Source organism: Homo sapiens, chromosome 9 (assembly GCF_000001405.40).
Source record: "Homo sapiens chromosome 9, GRCh38.p14 Primary Assembly".
Taxonomy (NCBI): domain Eukaryota; kingdom Metazoa; phylum Chordata; class Mammalia; order Primates; family Hominidae; genus Homo; species Homo sapiens.
This window is the reverse complement of record NC_000009.12, coordinates 93,488,354-93,505,902: the sequence shown is the minus strand read 5'-3', so window position 1 is coordinate 93,505,902 and position 17,549 is coordinate 93,488,354. Positions and strand designations below refer to the sequence as shown.

Below are 17,549 nucleotides of genomic sequence, written 5' to 3'. Positions count from 1 at the left end.
CAAAAACCATAAACAAAATTCAGTGCCAGGTAGTATCAAAGGGCAAAATCATAAATAAAACTTTTAGAAGACAAAGTGTTTATCACCTCAGGCTAGGGAGGAATTCTTCCTTTATGTTTTCTTTTTCTCCTTCTCATGTAACACTTTAAACAAACACAAGAAAAAAGGGAACTGTACAATAAGCCACACATATCTATCAACCACCCTCAAAATTAACCAGCACACAGCCTATTGCGTGTCATCTGCACTTCCACCCTTCTTTGCCCACTACTGCATTATTGTGAAGCAAATCTCAGACATGACATCATTTCATCCATAAATACAGGATAGGACTTAAAGGTACAAACAACAAAGGGAAAAATTCATGTATTTGACATTAAGAACTCTGATATCAAAGCACATCATGAAGACAGAAAAATGCAAGCCACAGATTGGAAGATTATTATTTGCAGTCCATTTATCTGACTAGCATCCAATATATATATTAAGTATCCCTATGAATAAGCAAAAAGAAAAACAACCCAACAGAAACACAAGCGAACAGGCCGGGCGCAGTGGCTCACGCCTGTAATCCCAGCATTTCGGGAGGCCGAGGCGGGCGGATCACGAGGTCAGGAGATTGAGACCATCTTGGCTAGCATTGTGAAACCCCATCTCTACTAAAAATACAAAAAATTAGCCAGGCGTGGTGGCGAGTGCCTGTAGTCCCAGCTACTCGGGAAGCTGAGGCAGGAGAATGGTGTGAACCTGGGAGGCGGAGCTTGCAGTGAGCCGAGATTGCGCCACTGCACTCCAGCCTGGGTGACAGAGCGAGACTCCTTCTCAAAAAAAAAAAAAAAAAAAAAAAAAAACACAAGCGAACAACATGAACAAGCATTTCACAATAGAGGAAACCCTACTGGCCCATAAACATAAAGATTCTCAACCTCATTAGTAATCAGGGAAATGCAACTGAAACCTTTACAGGATATAGTTTCATAATCACTAGACCAAAAAATAATAAAACGTGGAGCAATGAGAGGGTTCTTTCACTTCTGCCAGGAGAATAAATAGGTGTATCCGTGTCCGGCAGCAGCAGAGGCTTGAACAGGGCCCTACCCTGGAGGTTCCCTGGAATTCCACTCCTGGGCACATCAGGTCACATGAAACAATGTTCACAAGTGCGCTATCCATCATGGCAAGCAGCTGGAAACAGTCCATTTTCCATCAACAGTAGAATGGACAAATATATATTAATACAATGGAATGCTGCACAGCATTAAAAAATGAACTATGCCAACATGAATGAAACACAATAATATAAATATTAAGAAGGCAAGTCAGAGGAGTACATGCTATATGATTTTATTTCATAACAAACAAAATGAAACTATTTAGTATCCAGACATACAGACACGATAAAATTATATAGAGAAGCACAGAATAACTAATACAAAATTGAGGGTGGTAGAGAGTCGAGGAATGCAACCAGCGAAGACATATAAGAGGGCTAAGATATTAGTAATGTTCTAAGACTAACACATTGTAGTATGATAGTTACAAAATCATTTTTTTTACAGGTAAAAATTATTCCATGAGCTTTCACGTTCTAAGAATAAAGTCTAAAATCCAAGGTGGTGCCTGGCAACTGCACTGCCGCTCTCAGCATCACCTGACCACTCTCCCCGCTTTCTGTGCTTCAACCACATTCTTCTTATTTTTCTTCTTCACTATGTCCTCCTAACTCAGGACCTCTCACATGCCACCTCCCCTGCATGGAATACACTTCTTCCCATATTGGCACCTTGCTAGATGCCTGAACCCCCAAACCCCACTCAACAATAATCTAATCAATCAGAACCAGCCATTTTAATCGTAGATTGATTCAATCAGGTTGGTCTTCCTTGAGGTTCCTGTTCTCTTTCCTGCAGGATTCCCTGGTGTTCACTTCCCCACTATACATTCATCTGTAGGGGCAACGGTAACTCCTCTCTTATTTACCACACCATTCAGCACCCAGCACACTGCCTGTCATGAAATGCACAAATCAACGAGCTCTTTACTTTAAAATATATATATATATACTTTTTTTTTTGAGCAGTTTCAAGGTTACAAAAATCTTGAGCAGAGTACACACTTCGCATTGGTGTGACACATTTGTTCCAACCAATGAGCCAAACCTGGCTACATTATGATTACCTAATGCCCACAGTTGGCATTAGGGTTCACTCTTGGTGCTGTACGTATTCTGGATATGGCTAGAAGTATAATGCCATGTATCCACCGTTACAGTATCATACAGAATAGTTTCACTGCCCCAAAAATCTGCCTAATCATCCCTCCCTCCCCACAACCTCTGGCAACCCTTGATCTTTTTCCTGCCTCCATACTTTTGGCCTTTTCCAGATGTCCTATAGTTGGAATCGCACAGTATGTAGCCTTTTCTGATTGGCTTCTTTCACTTAGTGATATGTACTTATGTTCCTCTGCATCTTTTCATGGCTTGATAGCGCATTGCTTTTTAGTGTTGATTATTTCATTGCTTAGATACACCAAACTTTATTTCCCTGTTGACCTACTGAAGACATATTGGTAGCCTCCAAGCGTTGGCTATTATGAATAAAGTTGCTTTAAATATCTGTGTGCAGGTTTTTGCGTAGACATAAGTTTTCAACTCCTTTGGGCAAACACCAACAAGCATGACTTGGGAATTTTGTAAATATCTGCGAAGCTGTCTTCCAAAGTCGCTGTACCATTTTTGCAATCCCATTAGCAGCACAATCTGTTGCTACCCATCCTCACCAGCATTTAGTGTTGTTGGTGTTTTCTATGTTAATCATTCTAACAAATGTGTAATTAAAATGTGTAGTAGGAGCCCATTTACTTTTCACTAAGGAAGGCCAATGACACAGTGGCTACTTCTTCAGCCTCAATTTCACCTGCACACGGGATCTGTGCCCATAGATTCCACATCCACAGATCTGAGGTGAGACCTCAGTGTTAGTTGTGTTACTTGTTACTTTAGTAAATTCCACCAATGATTTTGAAGCAACTGGTTTAACTAGGGAACTAAATATTTTGAAATCTCAACTATCACATATCTTATTTGTGCTTGCATTTAGATTGGTGATTTCGTGGAGAGCTATAGCAGATTTTACATGCTGAGACAGAAAGAACAAATCACAACCATTTCCAGATAGGCAGGTCCTCGCTTAGTAATTATGACATAGTGAATGCTTAAAAATAAGTATGCATCTCACCACCACTTATTTTCAAAATCATCTCAAAATACACAATTTCTGGGAGACTATATTGCAAGTGTGCGTGTGTGTGTGTGTGTGTGTGTGTGTGTGTGTGTATGTGTCCTCCTAAGAACTCTACACTACCCAATAACTGTTTAGAGATCTGAGGTATTTTTCTCAATATTGCAGATAGATTTACAGGCTTACAAAGAAAGGCACAGAGGATGAGTTGTGGTTCCTAAAAGCCAGGCCAACTGGTACCTAGCTAGGAACATTCCTTTTTAAAAAATATAAATTCCTAAGGCCCAATTAAGATGCTAAAATAGCAGTTTTGAGGTGGAATCTAAAATTCCAGCCAAGTTTAGAAACCTCTGGTTAGATCAACTCACCCCATGTTTTTCCCCTATAGCCATGCTCTCTAAGCTTATAATATGATTACCCTAAAATTTCTTCAAAACTCTACACATATTCCAATTTCTGAATGATTAATAAGATAAATTCTAATACAACAAGAAACTAATATCCCCACATTGGTTCTTCAAAATTCTGAATTATTTTCCTGTAGAATAATATAATGGACTGTGGTTGGATTCTATGACAGATCACCAAAGACCACTTAGGACCTATCTACTACTTATAAAAATATTTCTGTGGAAAATACATCATGGGTTCTAACTTGAGTTGCCAGAAAGGGTCCCACCGACTCCATGTTGTTCCTTCTAGACTTTCAACTTAGGTTCCAGTCTTCGCCCTGTTAGTTTCACTGGTAGGATCCCAGTAGTATGCAGGGGTAAAAATCAATGACAGCTAATGTAATTTATGTTTCTTCAGAGTTATCAGAAAAAAACTAAAGTTATTTTTACAAGAATCCATTTCTGCTAGTTCCAAATCATGTGTATGCAGCTTGAAACAAAACGTCCTTCCCAATCTTGCCTGAAGCCTCTCTCCAGGCTTGTCTCCTGCCATTCCAGACTGCATACCCGTCATCTTAAAATTCTACACTGCCCAAACTTCCTGCCTGGCTGTCATTCTGTGCCTGTACTTTTGTTAGTCCCTCCGCATACAACCCTCATTTCTGCAACAGCCAGAAGCATCAGGGAATGCTGTACAGGAGGATTTACAGGCAGTTCATGCCTACCCTAAGCTGCCTCAAACTATCATCCCAAGCATCCCAAACTCTACCAGTTACTTTGCTGTTCTCCATAAACCACCGAGTAGTGAAAATGAAAGTGAAACTAAATTCTGAGTAAACTTCACCTCTAAAATACTCACCTAAAATCTTAATAATTTGATAAGAACACAAAAGCACTTGACAGAACATATTTTTAAGATATTCAAACTTAACTCACCTTGCCTATTCAAAACATCTTCATAATTATGAGCCCAGATCAATGCCAAATATTAAGTGTGCTGCCTTTCTCTATACTTATCTTCCTAATTTTCTCCTAAGTAGATTTTCCAGTCCCAAGTACACTCTAAGGACTTTCTAAACTACACCTGCCATACAGACTGTCCCACAGGAGCACAATGTCAGTGAAACACAGGAGACTGCCGGCCCCACCTCTGAGCGCTCCTTCAGGCTCCTCACTGCTCATTCCAATGCCCAATCATTCAGTGCCTGTTGAGGCCATTCTGCCAATGAGAAGAATAATGACAGTATCTACTATCAGACAGTATCTGTTATTCTTATAGGCAGAATTACCTAAAAGGGCATTGAATGACTGAACAAGTACTTCACTAAAGCACCTTACATACGCCTTCTCTTTTAATATTCACATAATGACCCCATTCTATAAAATAGGGAGCTCGAGGTCAGGAGGCAGTAGGCCACAGGTGGCAATGTTCATGCTCCCCATCATTCCCACAAGCAATTATTAGACATCTTCTGTGTGCAGGGTATACAGTAGACACACTGAGATCTGGTCCCATAATGCCTCACCTTAACTGATGAAACAGTATACAGCTAGTCTCCCTCCTGCTGATGCTCTGTGCCCCCTTTTCCAAAAATAATCCTAAAACACATCTCACCACTTCACTCTCTTGATTTAAAAACCAAGTGGATCAATTCATTCAGTCAAATATTTATCCACTGGGGATATAAAAGTAAAGGTGACTAATAGGCCCTCATTACCCTAGACTTTACATTGTGGGGAGTGACGGGGGAAGGGGTGGTGGTGGTGACAAATAGAAGCCAAGGAGTGTGCAGAGATTTAAAGCCAGGCAGACCTTGGAGAACACGACAGCCTGGATCTCACAAATCAGAAGGGCACAAACACAAGCTGGTCAGAGAAAGGAGCCCTCCAGGCACAAAAGCCGGCCCAGAGGCCCAGGGCAGAAGCTAGCTTGGTTCATGCAAGGCAAGAAAGGAGGCTGCGCTCAGGAGTGAGAAGCCAGCAGTCTCAGATGATGGGGAGGAAGCAAGGTAAGTAGTTGGGAATTTATTCCAAGTGTGACGGGAAGCCAATGGGGAATTCTGAGCATGGGAGTAGCACAGTCCAACTGCCATTTTTAAACATTACTTTGGCTGCTGGGAAGAAAATGGATTGCAGGGGAGCAAGAGAGCAGCAAAGAGCCCCACTGGGAGGCTGCTGCCATTTACTGACCTCGCAGTGGAGATTCAGCCACTCCATGCCCATCTCCAGGTTACAAGCCCTACCTCCTTTATTACAGGGCATCGGCACAGGCCATGTTTCCCTGTCCACCACCCAGCCACATACATAGGCAGCCAAAGCCAGTGCCATGCCTCTGATCTCCAATGCCCAGTTCCTAGCATACAGCAGACACTATGCTTGAATAAATGAAGGGTGCAGCTCTTAAGGCCACTTTCAATCTTGGAATTAGTCTTCTCAAATAAATACAAAGTCTCCTTCCAGTAAGAGTCTCTTGAACATGCAATCATTCTTTTGTTAACTTAGATGAAGCAAACAACACAATTTAAATGAGAGTTGGGGTCTATTTCTCATACTTCTACTTACAGTTTAGTGCTTTATAACCTCCACAAGACGTTCAATATGAAGCAGGCTTCAGGCTAACAGCTTATAAATATTTTTATTTCCCAATTTCAAATCTCTGAATTAACTTTTGGTCTTTTGCAGGCTGAACGTGGTGGCTCATGCCTGTAATCCCAGCATTTTGGGAGGCTGAGATGGGCAGATCGCTTGAGGCTAGGAGTTCGAGACAAGTCTGGCCAACATGGTGAAACCCCATCTCTACTAAAAATACAAAAATTAGCTGGGCATGGTGGCGCATGCCTGTAATCCCAGCTACTTAGGAGGCTGGGGCACAAAAATCACTTGAGCCTGGGAGGTAGAGGTTGCAGTGAGCCGAGGTCACACTACTGCACTCCAGCCTGGGCGACAGTGCAATACTCTGCTCAACAACAAAAAAGAATTAAAAAAAAAAAAAGGCAGGGGTCAAGAAAAGAGAGACTACAAATACACTGCATTTATGAAATCACTTGCAGTTGTGGAGGCCCTTCTACGTCCTCAGGCAATTCTGTATTTAGAAGCGGATATCTCAGAGCTGCCAAGACGTCAACATCCCCTCGACCTGCTGCCTCATCTGCACAATGCCCTCTGATTCTTCTTCATCCTATGAAGGCTGTTAAGTTCTCTTCCTCCTCAATATTTTCAGGGATTGCTACTGAGTCTGCCCAGGAAGTTTGGCTATACTTACTGGCATAACTACAGAAAATCATGTTTCAAAAACATAAACCTACAAGATTATATGGTGAATATTTAAACCTACTTGGATTATCATATGGTCAATATTGATCACAGGCTTTTATTTACTTACCTAAGTAATGTGGTGGATGAAATGACATAGGCTTACTAGTCGCTGAATAATATCCAATTGCTCTCTTAAATCGAATAACTTTGTCATCTGTTCTAGACTGAAATAAAGGCAGGAAAACCTTCATAAATTAGTGTGCCACTGGTCATGTGTATCACAATGTTTTTTATAATTCAGCACATGTATAATATTCTACAGCTTTTCAAGTTAGAGAAGAATTTTGAATGACATTAAAACTTTCAGGGAAAATCAATAGATTACTACAAAAGAATCAAACCAAACGTGAATTCTTTTAAAGCAATGTAGTCACAAGAGCAGAACTCCAAAGTGGTAGTCAGGGCCCTGGGTTCTAGCTCTAGGACTTCCCTGACTTCCACTCTGCTCGGTCTCTGGTCCTGCCCAGAGAGGAATCTCAAGCCATCTGTACCAAGGGAACGGATGGCAGTGACAGACTGGGGATGTTCCTGCCCAGGGTTTCAGCTCTCTCTTTTTCTTCTGAGACGGAGTTTCGCTCTTTCACCCAGGCTGGAGTGCGGTGGCATGATCTCCGCTCACTGCAGCCTCTGCCTTACGGTTTCAAGCGATTCTCCTGCCTCAGCATCCCGAGTAGCTGGCATTACAGGCGCCCACCACCACGCCTGGCTAATTTTTGTATTTTTAATAGAGACAGGGTTTCACCATGTTGGCCAGGCTAGTCTCAAACTCCTGACCTCGTGATCCGCCCGCCTCGGCCTCCCAGAGTACTGGGATTACAGGCATGAGCCACCGTGCCTGGCTGCATTTCAGCTCTCTAGAGACACAGCAGGAGTTTCACAGAGCCTTGCCTATTCTACTGATGCCAACTTGTTGGCACACCTACTTCCCCAAAAAAGAAGAAAATCCCTGACAATCACCTGAAGAAAACAGACAAATCAGAGATTTATAATGCCATATGACTGACTTGATACAGTTCATGTTCTGAAAACTCTGAAATACAGATCCTATTAAGTTAAGATCGAGAACTTATGAGCAGGAGACCTCACCAACCGTCTAACTGAATCTCCCTTTTATTCAGCCTGGAAAAGCTGGGTGAAGTGGCTGAGACTTCCTGGCTGGCAGGGAACATGACCAGGCTACCTCAGCCTCTGGCCTTGCAACCTGCAGCTTTCTTCCAGTGGCCTGAGCAAGAGCTCTCAGACCCATCCAGTCAGCTTGCACCCTCAAGTCCCCTTCTTCCAAACCTGGCCACACCACTATGCAACGTCATATCCCATGAATCTGTTTTTTTGTTTTGTTTGTTTTTTTTTTTACCTGTGAATGCTGGAAAACATCTTTAGCTATGGCATCCAAGTCAGAGGTGTCCTGAATGTTGCGTACATAGTCAGCAACGGCTTTGATCACTACGTCGCAAGGTGGCAAGACCAGCTGGTGGGCCCGGACCTGAGAAAACAAACGTAAGTGTCAACAGTGGATGGTGAGCAACCAGTACCAGGCTAATCTGAATGCAGGAGCCAGAAATTCAACAAGGAGCTACCATCTAAGATCTTATCAGTGCCCAATGATTGTCCACTTGTAAGATCTTGGCCCTAAGACTTTCCTAAGCCGTTCACGTTCTGAAGCTCAAGAACTGGATTTTCCTTTCAGTGGATGAAATACAACTCAGCTGCTTAAACTGTGTTGGGTGAAAAGAGCATCTGACAGTCTTCCACCACTTCTGAGAAGTCCAAGACTTGTTTGCGATTAATTCCAAGGCCAGGACCTGCACCCATAACAAGCGAAGCACAAAGCAGCCCAGAGAGAAGGCCTGGAGCCACCATTCGCTCCCTTTCTTTCAACACCAACCAACAAAGATGAAGGCCTGCACAAGTAGAATCTTTAGATTAGAGCCCAGGACTCCCTGAAACTGTAAGCAGAAATGCAGTTACCAAGTCCTTGAATCCACCTTCAAAGGCCAACTTCAGCTCTAACTGGAGAAAAATGGTATCACTGCCTGTTGAGGGGCATGTTTGAGGAAAGTGACAAAGAATATCAAATAAAGAGTAGGAACATCTCATTAGCCAAAAACAGCTGACACTAGAAAAACGTAAGTTAACAGGTTGAAAAAGAAGACCAGCCACCTAATAAGAGCTTTGCGGTAGGCAGGACAATGACCTCCCAAAGCTGTCCACATCCTCCTCTCCAGAACCTGCGAATATGCTGCATTGCGTGGCAAAATTCAATGAAGGCTGCCTGTCAGCTGACCTCCAAATAAGAATCCTGTCCTGGATTACCCAGACAAGCCCAAGGGAATCACAGGGTCCTCAAAATGTGGAGAAAGGAGGCAGTGATGCAGCATGACAGGGCCTCAGATGCTCGAGGCTGGACGGGCTGGGATCCTCCCGAGAGCCTGCAGAGGGACCAGCCCTTGCATGTTAACATACAAGGAAAGGAATGTTGTCTTCATGCCTGTTGACACAACATTCATTCCACAACCCATAATGGATAAAGGAGTAATTTTGACACTCAAGTCTTATTATTAAAGAAATACATTTCATCAGGCTAGAACTGCCATAGAAAATGACTCCTCTGATGCATCTGGGCTAAGCACATTGAAAACCTTCTGGACAGAATTCACTACTCTAGTAAGTGAATGCCATTAAGACCATTCATGATTCATGGGAGGATGTCAAAATATCAACCTTAACAGGAGCTTGGAAGACTTGGTTGATTCCAACCCTCGTGAATGGCTTTGAGGGGGTTTAAGACTTAAGTGGAGGAAGTCACTGCAGATGTGGTGGAAATAGCAAGAGAATCAGAATTAGAAGTGGAGCCTGAAGATGTAACCAAATTGCTGAAATCTCATGATAAATCCTGAATAAATGAAGAAGTACTTGTTATGGACAAGCAAAGAAAGCACCTTTTTGAGATGGAATCTACTTCTGGTGAAGATGCTATCAAAGATATCAAAATAAAAGCAAAGGATTTAGAATAGGACATAAGCTTAGTTGATAAAGCAGTGGCAGGGTTTGAGATTAACTCCAATTTCATAAAACATTTCTACTGTGGGTAAACTGCTATCAAATAACATTGCAGGCTATAGAGAAATCTTTCATGAAAGGAAGAGTCAATTGATGTGACAAACTTGAATGTTGTCCAATTTCCTGAAACGGCCACAGCCACCCCAACCTCCAGCAACCACCACCCTTATCAGTCAGCAGCCATCAGCAAGACCCTCCACCAGCAAAATGATTCCAACTCGCTGTAGACTCAAGCGATCATAGCATTTGAAAGTATTTTTGATTAAGGGATGTATCTTGTGTTTCAGACATAATGCCATTACACTCTTAATAGACTACAGTACTGTGTAAACATTTCTATTACATGTACTGGAAAACCTAAAATTGACATGACTTCTCTATCATTCCCCTCCAGGCCCCTGCTCTCAAAGCCTCCATGTATGTCACAAGGTGGCTGCAGAACAGCAGAGTCCCCTTTGGTAAGTGCCTCTGCCTTTCCAAGTCTGTGCATGAGGAATGCACAAAACAGGGACATGTTCCAGTGAGTTATAACGGTGTATTAGGTTACTGTTATTTTGTTGTTGTTGAGGATCATGGTGGTATATTAGCTAACATATCTTAGCTAGACACTCTTTTAAGTGTTTTATGTATAGTACTGTATTAATTCTCACACATCTAATATGGCAGCCCTTGTTTGTGTTAGAGATGGTACCCTCCACAGGGTTCTAAGTGGTCAGTTGTGGCCCACAGGCCACTGGCAAGTGGCGGCAAACCCTTGGCAGCCACGGAGGGCCTGCTGCCCACCACACAATGCCTACTCAGCTGCTGCTGGCCCCCCTGTAGGCAGCAGTACTACTGATGTACAGAATCATGGGACTAGTGGCAGTGAAACTATGGAAACCCTGGGTGATCTGGGCATGCACTGCTGTGGTGGCCTTCACGTTCATGACGCACAGTGGGAAGAAAAGAGGAGTCGGCCCAAAGGTATTCAGCCCAGGGTGAGGTCCATAGAATGGCCAGATCCAAGATGTGGCTAGCACCCCAAGCCTGTGGTGGCCTAATGTCACCCGTGCCAGAGGCCAGTCCTCGATCACTCCAAACCCCCTGCTTGAGGGTTCCAAATGAAACAAGCAGGTCTTCCTACCAGGACCTAGGTGAGCTTCTGAAAGAGCACAGAAAAGCAGGCCTCCTGAATTTCCCCAAGTGACTGAACAAAGCAGGTCCCACATGCTTCACAGCATGATGGGGAAGATCTTCTGGGGCAAAGCAAAGATGATCTGAATGACAGCACTGACCACTGGCAACCTGCAGAGCTGCCCGACCAAGAAATTGTGAGATGGAAGCAATGCCTGCAGATAAGAAGGGGAAGATGAAAAGCCGGAGCAGGCAAAGACAGTAATGGAACAGGCCACGAATGCTGGAGTGAGGCAAATGACCTCCCTGTCCCACACCCCTCCAAGCATCCTGCATCTGCTGGAGAGCAATAGAAACCACGTGCAGGATGGAGACTTGGCAATGGAGGGGAACAGGGAAGTAGGATATGGTGGTCCCATAGCATCCGGGCTACAAGTTCCTCCGAAGAATGTGGATGGTGACGGTGACTTAGGTGCATCCTTCAAATGTCCTGAAGGAAAGATTGAAGCAACAAATAAGCAATTGTGGGAAGAATTCCAAAGGAGTAAAGAACGCACAGCACAAATCCAAAGTCCGATTGGCGAGAGGCCTCTCTGCAGGGCACAAGGGCACAGTTGGGGAAAGAGCTCGCAAAGCTGCAGCTGAAGCTTCCTGCTCTGCCTGAACTGCACTAAGAACCCGTGATGGGGCCTCAGTAGGAGTCCACACAGGAGGACGCCTACTGCCTGGACCTCGATCAGAGACTTCGCAAGGTGCACTAGTATTTAAACCGCATGTGTCAGACCTGCAACCGCTAGGAATTGAAGGAAGACACTTCCAGTTTTCAGAAGCAGATACTCTTCCATAAGAAAAGGGCCCAGGAAGGCTGGATGGCTGCCAGGCCCACTGAGAGAGCGCTCCAGGAGCTCCAGAAAGAAAATGACCACCACTACGGACAGAAGCTGGCTGACTGCGAAGCCAAGTTTCAGCCTTTCCTGAGTGGCCCTTTGGCTCCTGGGACTCTGCCCAAAACCCACAGGGCCTGAAAGCCCCCAGGAGGACACTGGGCCCCCAGGAGGGAGGCAGGTCACCATGTGAGGGCTTGGGTACAGAGCACCTGCCTGTTTTATTCTATTTCCCCTGTAGTTGGGTCCCGGACGCTCAGAGACTTGGCAGAACATCAGCCGCTGCTGCTCCCTTTAGAGCACATTTGGGTACTCTCTTGTTAGTTTAGCTACCGTTCAAGAGTTGATGCTGAAACTGCTCTCACTCAAGTTTGATAGATAGCATTAGGATTGTAAGGTACTGTTTATCAAATGGAGATTGTTTAATATAATTCTTACAAATACACTGATTCCACATCTTTGGGCCCTCCAAAATTATATAGGGTAAGTATTGTATTTTCATTTAGAGAAAGGGCCCCTCTTAACCTCAACATCATTGTGTTTGATATGGATGGGAAGGTTTAAAACAGAGACCATTTCTGATCTATGAGCTGTTACTTGAACATAGTACATTAAACTGGCTGGAATAAACTTTGGTTTGAACACAATGCCAAAATACACTCAAAAACAAGACCATACCACTCAAAGATCATATTTTTAACAGTTTGGTCCTAACCTTTGTGGTTTAATTTAGGGAGGTGGACATTTTGCCACCATTGCTTCTTATTTTGCAACAGGCAGTAGCACCCGGAGAGCCTGGGCCTTGCATAGCAAACAAGTCAGCCTCCCGGGCCAGAGCAGGCAGGAACAGCAACAGGCTTTCCCCAGAAGTAAAGAAGTTCATAGAGAAGGTGCAGGGCCTCCTGTCTCCCAGGGGCATGTGCAGCCCATGACGATGGCTTACACCCAAGACACCACAAGTAACTGGGCAGCCCTGCTTCACTCCCATCCCACTTCAAAAGAAAACAGAACCTGCTGCTTTTGTTCCTGTGGATATCCTTGTCATCACTATCCCCAGCCCTACAACATGCAGCTAAAAGATCCTTGAAGTGAATAGATGCTATAATTAAAGTGTCCCCTAAATCCTTCTGAGTGGCTCAGTAACATCTACCCTCTGGTCCGAAAACACCGGCCGTTTATAATTTGCTGACCATGCAGCTGCCCTCCCCACCAGCCACCCTCCACCACCCCACTTCGCAGGCAGCTCTGAGCCTGTGCAGAGAAGCTTGCTTCCCTCCTGGATGGCTCCTAATCTAGCCTTCTAAATCCAGTCCGGGATGAGCTCCCTGACGTCTTCTTTAATCCTTAGGGTCAGGACCTGGTGTGCATTTGCTACCCACGTGCAGGAGGAGTCAGAGGTGCTGTCCTAAGGGCTTGGTCCCATCAACAAACCCCACCCCTGCCACATGAGAAAGTGGCTGGAGACAGAAATGCAACACCACAGGGACATATGGATGGACTTTACATGAGACATTTTAAATTGAAGAAGATAGATTGGAGAGTTGTAATATATCTTTATTTAAAAATAACAGGGAATCTTGGTACTAAAAGGTATTCTAGGATAAATCCTTTAGAAACTTGTTAAGTGTTTTAACATGATAAAAGCATATATGTATGAGAAGTTAATTTATATGCTATCTATCTACATAACTCTATATATACATATATATATATATACACACACACACACACAACCTGTATAAACACCACACACAAAGGTAGTTATCAATATACTTACAAGTGGGAAAAAAACACATCAAGACTTGTTTGTCCATGAAAGGCATCATCAGCAGTGTTGCTAAACTTTCCCTGAGATTCTAAAATAGCACATGGTTCATCTCATCACAGCAGTAACTACGCAGGAGGGTTAAAGTAATTTGCCCTTGCCTATTCATAAAAACAAAATTAACACTCAAACTAAACAAGTGAAGTGTCTGCTGCTTAGAGACAGTGTATAAAAATTTATGTCCCATTTATTTCCTCCTCTGCTTTCTTTAATCAGTTTTTTTAAATCTTAGCCCAAAAACTTAACATTTAAAAAAAAAAAGTCAAATAAATTGCGACATATCTAGAGCTAGAACCATATGTACATTCTATCTCTAAGGAGAGTAAGTAAACTTAATTAACAAGCAAACGCTTATGATCAATTGCTTTTTTCACATCACTGTGTAGCAATTTCACTAACTGTGACTGAAATTTTACCTGCTTTGTAGGTCAAGAAAATAATTTAGGGCTGGAAAAGACCTTTGAAAGATTCAACCTACCCCTTTACTTCCAGGCAGAATCATTAAATAATAAATAGATACTGTTTGGGTGGAAATTGATCACTGTCTCCATGCAAAAATATCCTCTTATGTGAAAGATTTTCACTTTTAGCGTCATCTTTCCCCAAATCTCCTCATCATTTCCTACTGAAAAACATGTTCTGCAGTCTTCTAAACATCACTGACAGACGGATATAGCTGAATGCAGAATGCCACCAAACCTGACCCAGGCAAGCATGCCACAGGGCTATCTCCCTGACATATCACAATCCATGAGCGGTGGTGCCCCATTGTCACCCATTACAATTTCTTGTCCTTTGGCCACTCTTGACAACCTTTGTTTTGTTTTTTAAAAAAAACCTCCAAGAGGCTGCAATCTTGGGGTTGGGTCAGTGGTGTGGGCACCAGCCTGGCCACACTACTGGGCCTGTTCCCCAAATGGGTGGTGCTGGGAGCACTGGCTGGACTTCTGCTGTGGCCACGCAGGGTGAGCCCCTGGCCTCATCTCCAAGCAGCTTGACAACCCCAGGCATAACTTTCAGAACAAGCAGTATGTGTTCTCACCAATCTATCTATCAGGCCCATGTTAGGGGTGAAGAGTGGAGGCTGGCACCCATACTACATACTACAAGGACACAGAAGTCCATGGAAACCCTGTCAGGCACGTCCTCAAAGGGGACTTCAATGGGAAGCCCTCACTGAAGCTGCCTGGTGACTACTCCAGACAGAAAAGATCTTTGATGCTTTAGAGCCACTGATTTCAGTGAATTATTTCAGGCACTCAAGGGGCGTCTTAAGGAAGCTAAGAAACAACTACACTATAACAACATTTGAAATCCAAAGAAAACAATCTCTTCCTGGTTCCTGAAAGCAAAATAATAAATAATTTAGCCCCTGCTAAAGAAGCATTTATTTATTTATTCACTGTTTTCTAATATTTCACTGCTTAAAAATCTGCAGTCTCACTCTTGGTTACATCTTTAAAATCAAACATTTTTTTCTATAGCTGTGAATTCATTTAAATGAAGTTACCATGTAATATTCCAACTGTTAAACCCAACATGCCACAGTACTCAAATGATTCAATAAAATCCAATATTCCTTTTCATATAACATGTTGACTGAAAACTCTTTCAAAGCTCTCTAAAATGTACCACTAGACAGGATCATTTGACAGGGTCTGACCTAATCTCTAAAATCCACTTGGTCATATTCCTGTGGGATGTATAAGCTAATTAAATATACCATACAAAACAATGATTAAATGATTTTGAGACTGTTGGTGCCACTGCTCCCAAAGTGTCTCTCAGCTGCTCATTTAAAATGCAAATGAATATAAATACAGGTTTCACAAAGTACCATTGCTGAAGCAGAACTGATCCACTTCATTACCAAGTGGAAAACAGTGAAGGGGAAGTACTCTGCATTTTGGCAATTTCAAGGAAGGGAAATGGAAGCTCGATTTGGTCAATATTCATTCATGGATGAGGCCTGTGCTAGAAAAGGAACACAGAACCACCCTTCAAATTTCCTGACTTCGAGAAACTCTCATTCTTCTTGGTGACAAAATGTTGCCCCAGTCTAGGACACAGTGGAGCACAGGTCTGGGGGCTGAGGAGGGAGAAATGCTTCCTTGGTCATCCAATGTGGGCAAAGCTCAAAGTGTAGTCCCCAAGAAACTGTCACCACCACAGTCCTTGGCCCCAGCAGTCTCTGCTTTTGACCAAGCCCTGCAAGGTACAGAATCACCAAATGCACCCTGCAGGCCCAAGGTTTTCTAGTACAACAGTCAAGAGAAAGGAAAACACATAGACCCCAGAATTGTCAGATACCACTAATAGTCATGCTTTCAAATTTCTTGAAACGTTATGACACATATGAGTATTCTGTACACATTTGCCTAAATAAAGATTTGAAAGGCTGTTAAAATGCAATTAATCACAAATAATGCTAAGTGTGACCATCACTCCAAAGATGGAAACTGCTATGCACGTATACTGAAGTACCTAAAGGATTTAAACTGAACAAAGAAAAGTTCTTCATCCCATTTTACAGGCCTAGAGCCTAGGACGAAAAGGCAGGTAGGCCAGAGGTGGCTTCAGCTGTCCTACTGGAACCTGGGCTCCATCGTGCAGTGACAGGATCTCTTTACAAAAAAGTGCCACCAGTCCAAGGAGGAAACTGTAGTGTACTGTGGTCACCTTCCCTTCTTGGGGGAATACCTGTCATGTATTCTAATCGTTTTGAGGGCTGTGTACCCAGGCTGTGCCCTAAGGATGCATACTCCATTTAATCCTCACAACTCTATGAGTAGTCACTGTTAAAATCCCCATCTTATAGAGGAGCTTACTAAGTATCCACCACAGCCAACCAGGTGAGTGGCTGAGTGGACGCTACACACTTAGCCACAGCACTGTGGTCTTTTTATCTTCCATTCAAAATTGCGCCTTTTTTTAAGTGTTGAAATGTGCTTATTTAATGAAAAGATGGTAGACGGTGAATTCCTTTTTCTTCCAATATTCTTATTTAGAAAAATTAAGAGTTGGCAACACAACAGTAGTCTTCCAACTTTTTTTTTTTTTTTTAACAGATACATGGAATTCAAATCACTGCTACAGATGAAGAGAGTCACTGAGAAATTCTAAACAGGGGAATGATGAGATCAGACCTGAATTTAAACAGATCATTTTTGTTAGCCATGTGGAAGATGGACAGCCGAGGAAAAGATCAGCAAAAGGGAGGGTCCATGGCTCCTGCATGAATCCCAGCAAGCAGTGACTGAAACAGAAGTAAGGAGAGGATGTGGCAATTCAGAAAATATCAAAGCAGATGCAGGAAGGGGAAGAATCAAAGATGACTCCCAAGTTCTACCTTGGATGAATGGCAGGGTCGGTGGTGGTACTAGGTGGCAAGCACAATACAGGAGGACAAGCCAATTTAGAGAAAATGAAGACATTTGTAAATCAGAAATGCCAAATCTGATGTGCAGGTGCAACATCCAAGTAGAGAGGACTGGGCGGAGAGCTCAGTGAAGGGGACTTGTCTGGAGAAATATATTTCATGGTAGCTGAGACTTCAGCACAGATCTGCCAGGAGAGTGTGAGAATCACAGTACAGATGGAACCCGTAGGAGGCAACAGAGGCGAGGAGGAAAAAAAGAAAGACTACAGAACACTGACATGTGGAAAGCCAAGCAGGAGGGCCCCGGTGAGGAGAGGAGGATTATGATGAGGCTGAAAA

General features: G+C 43.3%; 1 protein-coding gene and 1 pseudogene across 15 annotated transcripts in view; one reads left to right on the top strand and one right to left on the bottom strand.

The window, feature by feature from the left end:
• FAM120A (family with sequence similarity 120 member A) overlaps nt 1–17,549 on the bottom strand; it is a 114,428-nt gene that overhangs the window by 60,210 nt on the left and 36,669 nt on the right. For all 15 annotated transcript variants that reach the window (NM_001439102.1, XM_011518413.3, NM_001439104.1 and 12 more), the window contains exons 4-5: nt 8,304–8,432; nt 7,017–7,113 (exon numbers count right to left, since the gene is read on the bottom strand). In NM_001439102.1, the coding sequence (NP_001426031.1) occupies nt 7,017–7,113; nt 8,304–8,432 (226 nt within the window). The remainder of the gene's footprint in view (nt 1–7,016; nt 7,114–8,303; nt 8,433–17,549) is intronic.
• On the top strand, nt 10,911–12,181 carry LOC100419516 (MIA SH3 domain ER export factor 2 pseudogene; annotated as a pseudogene).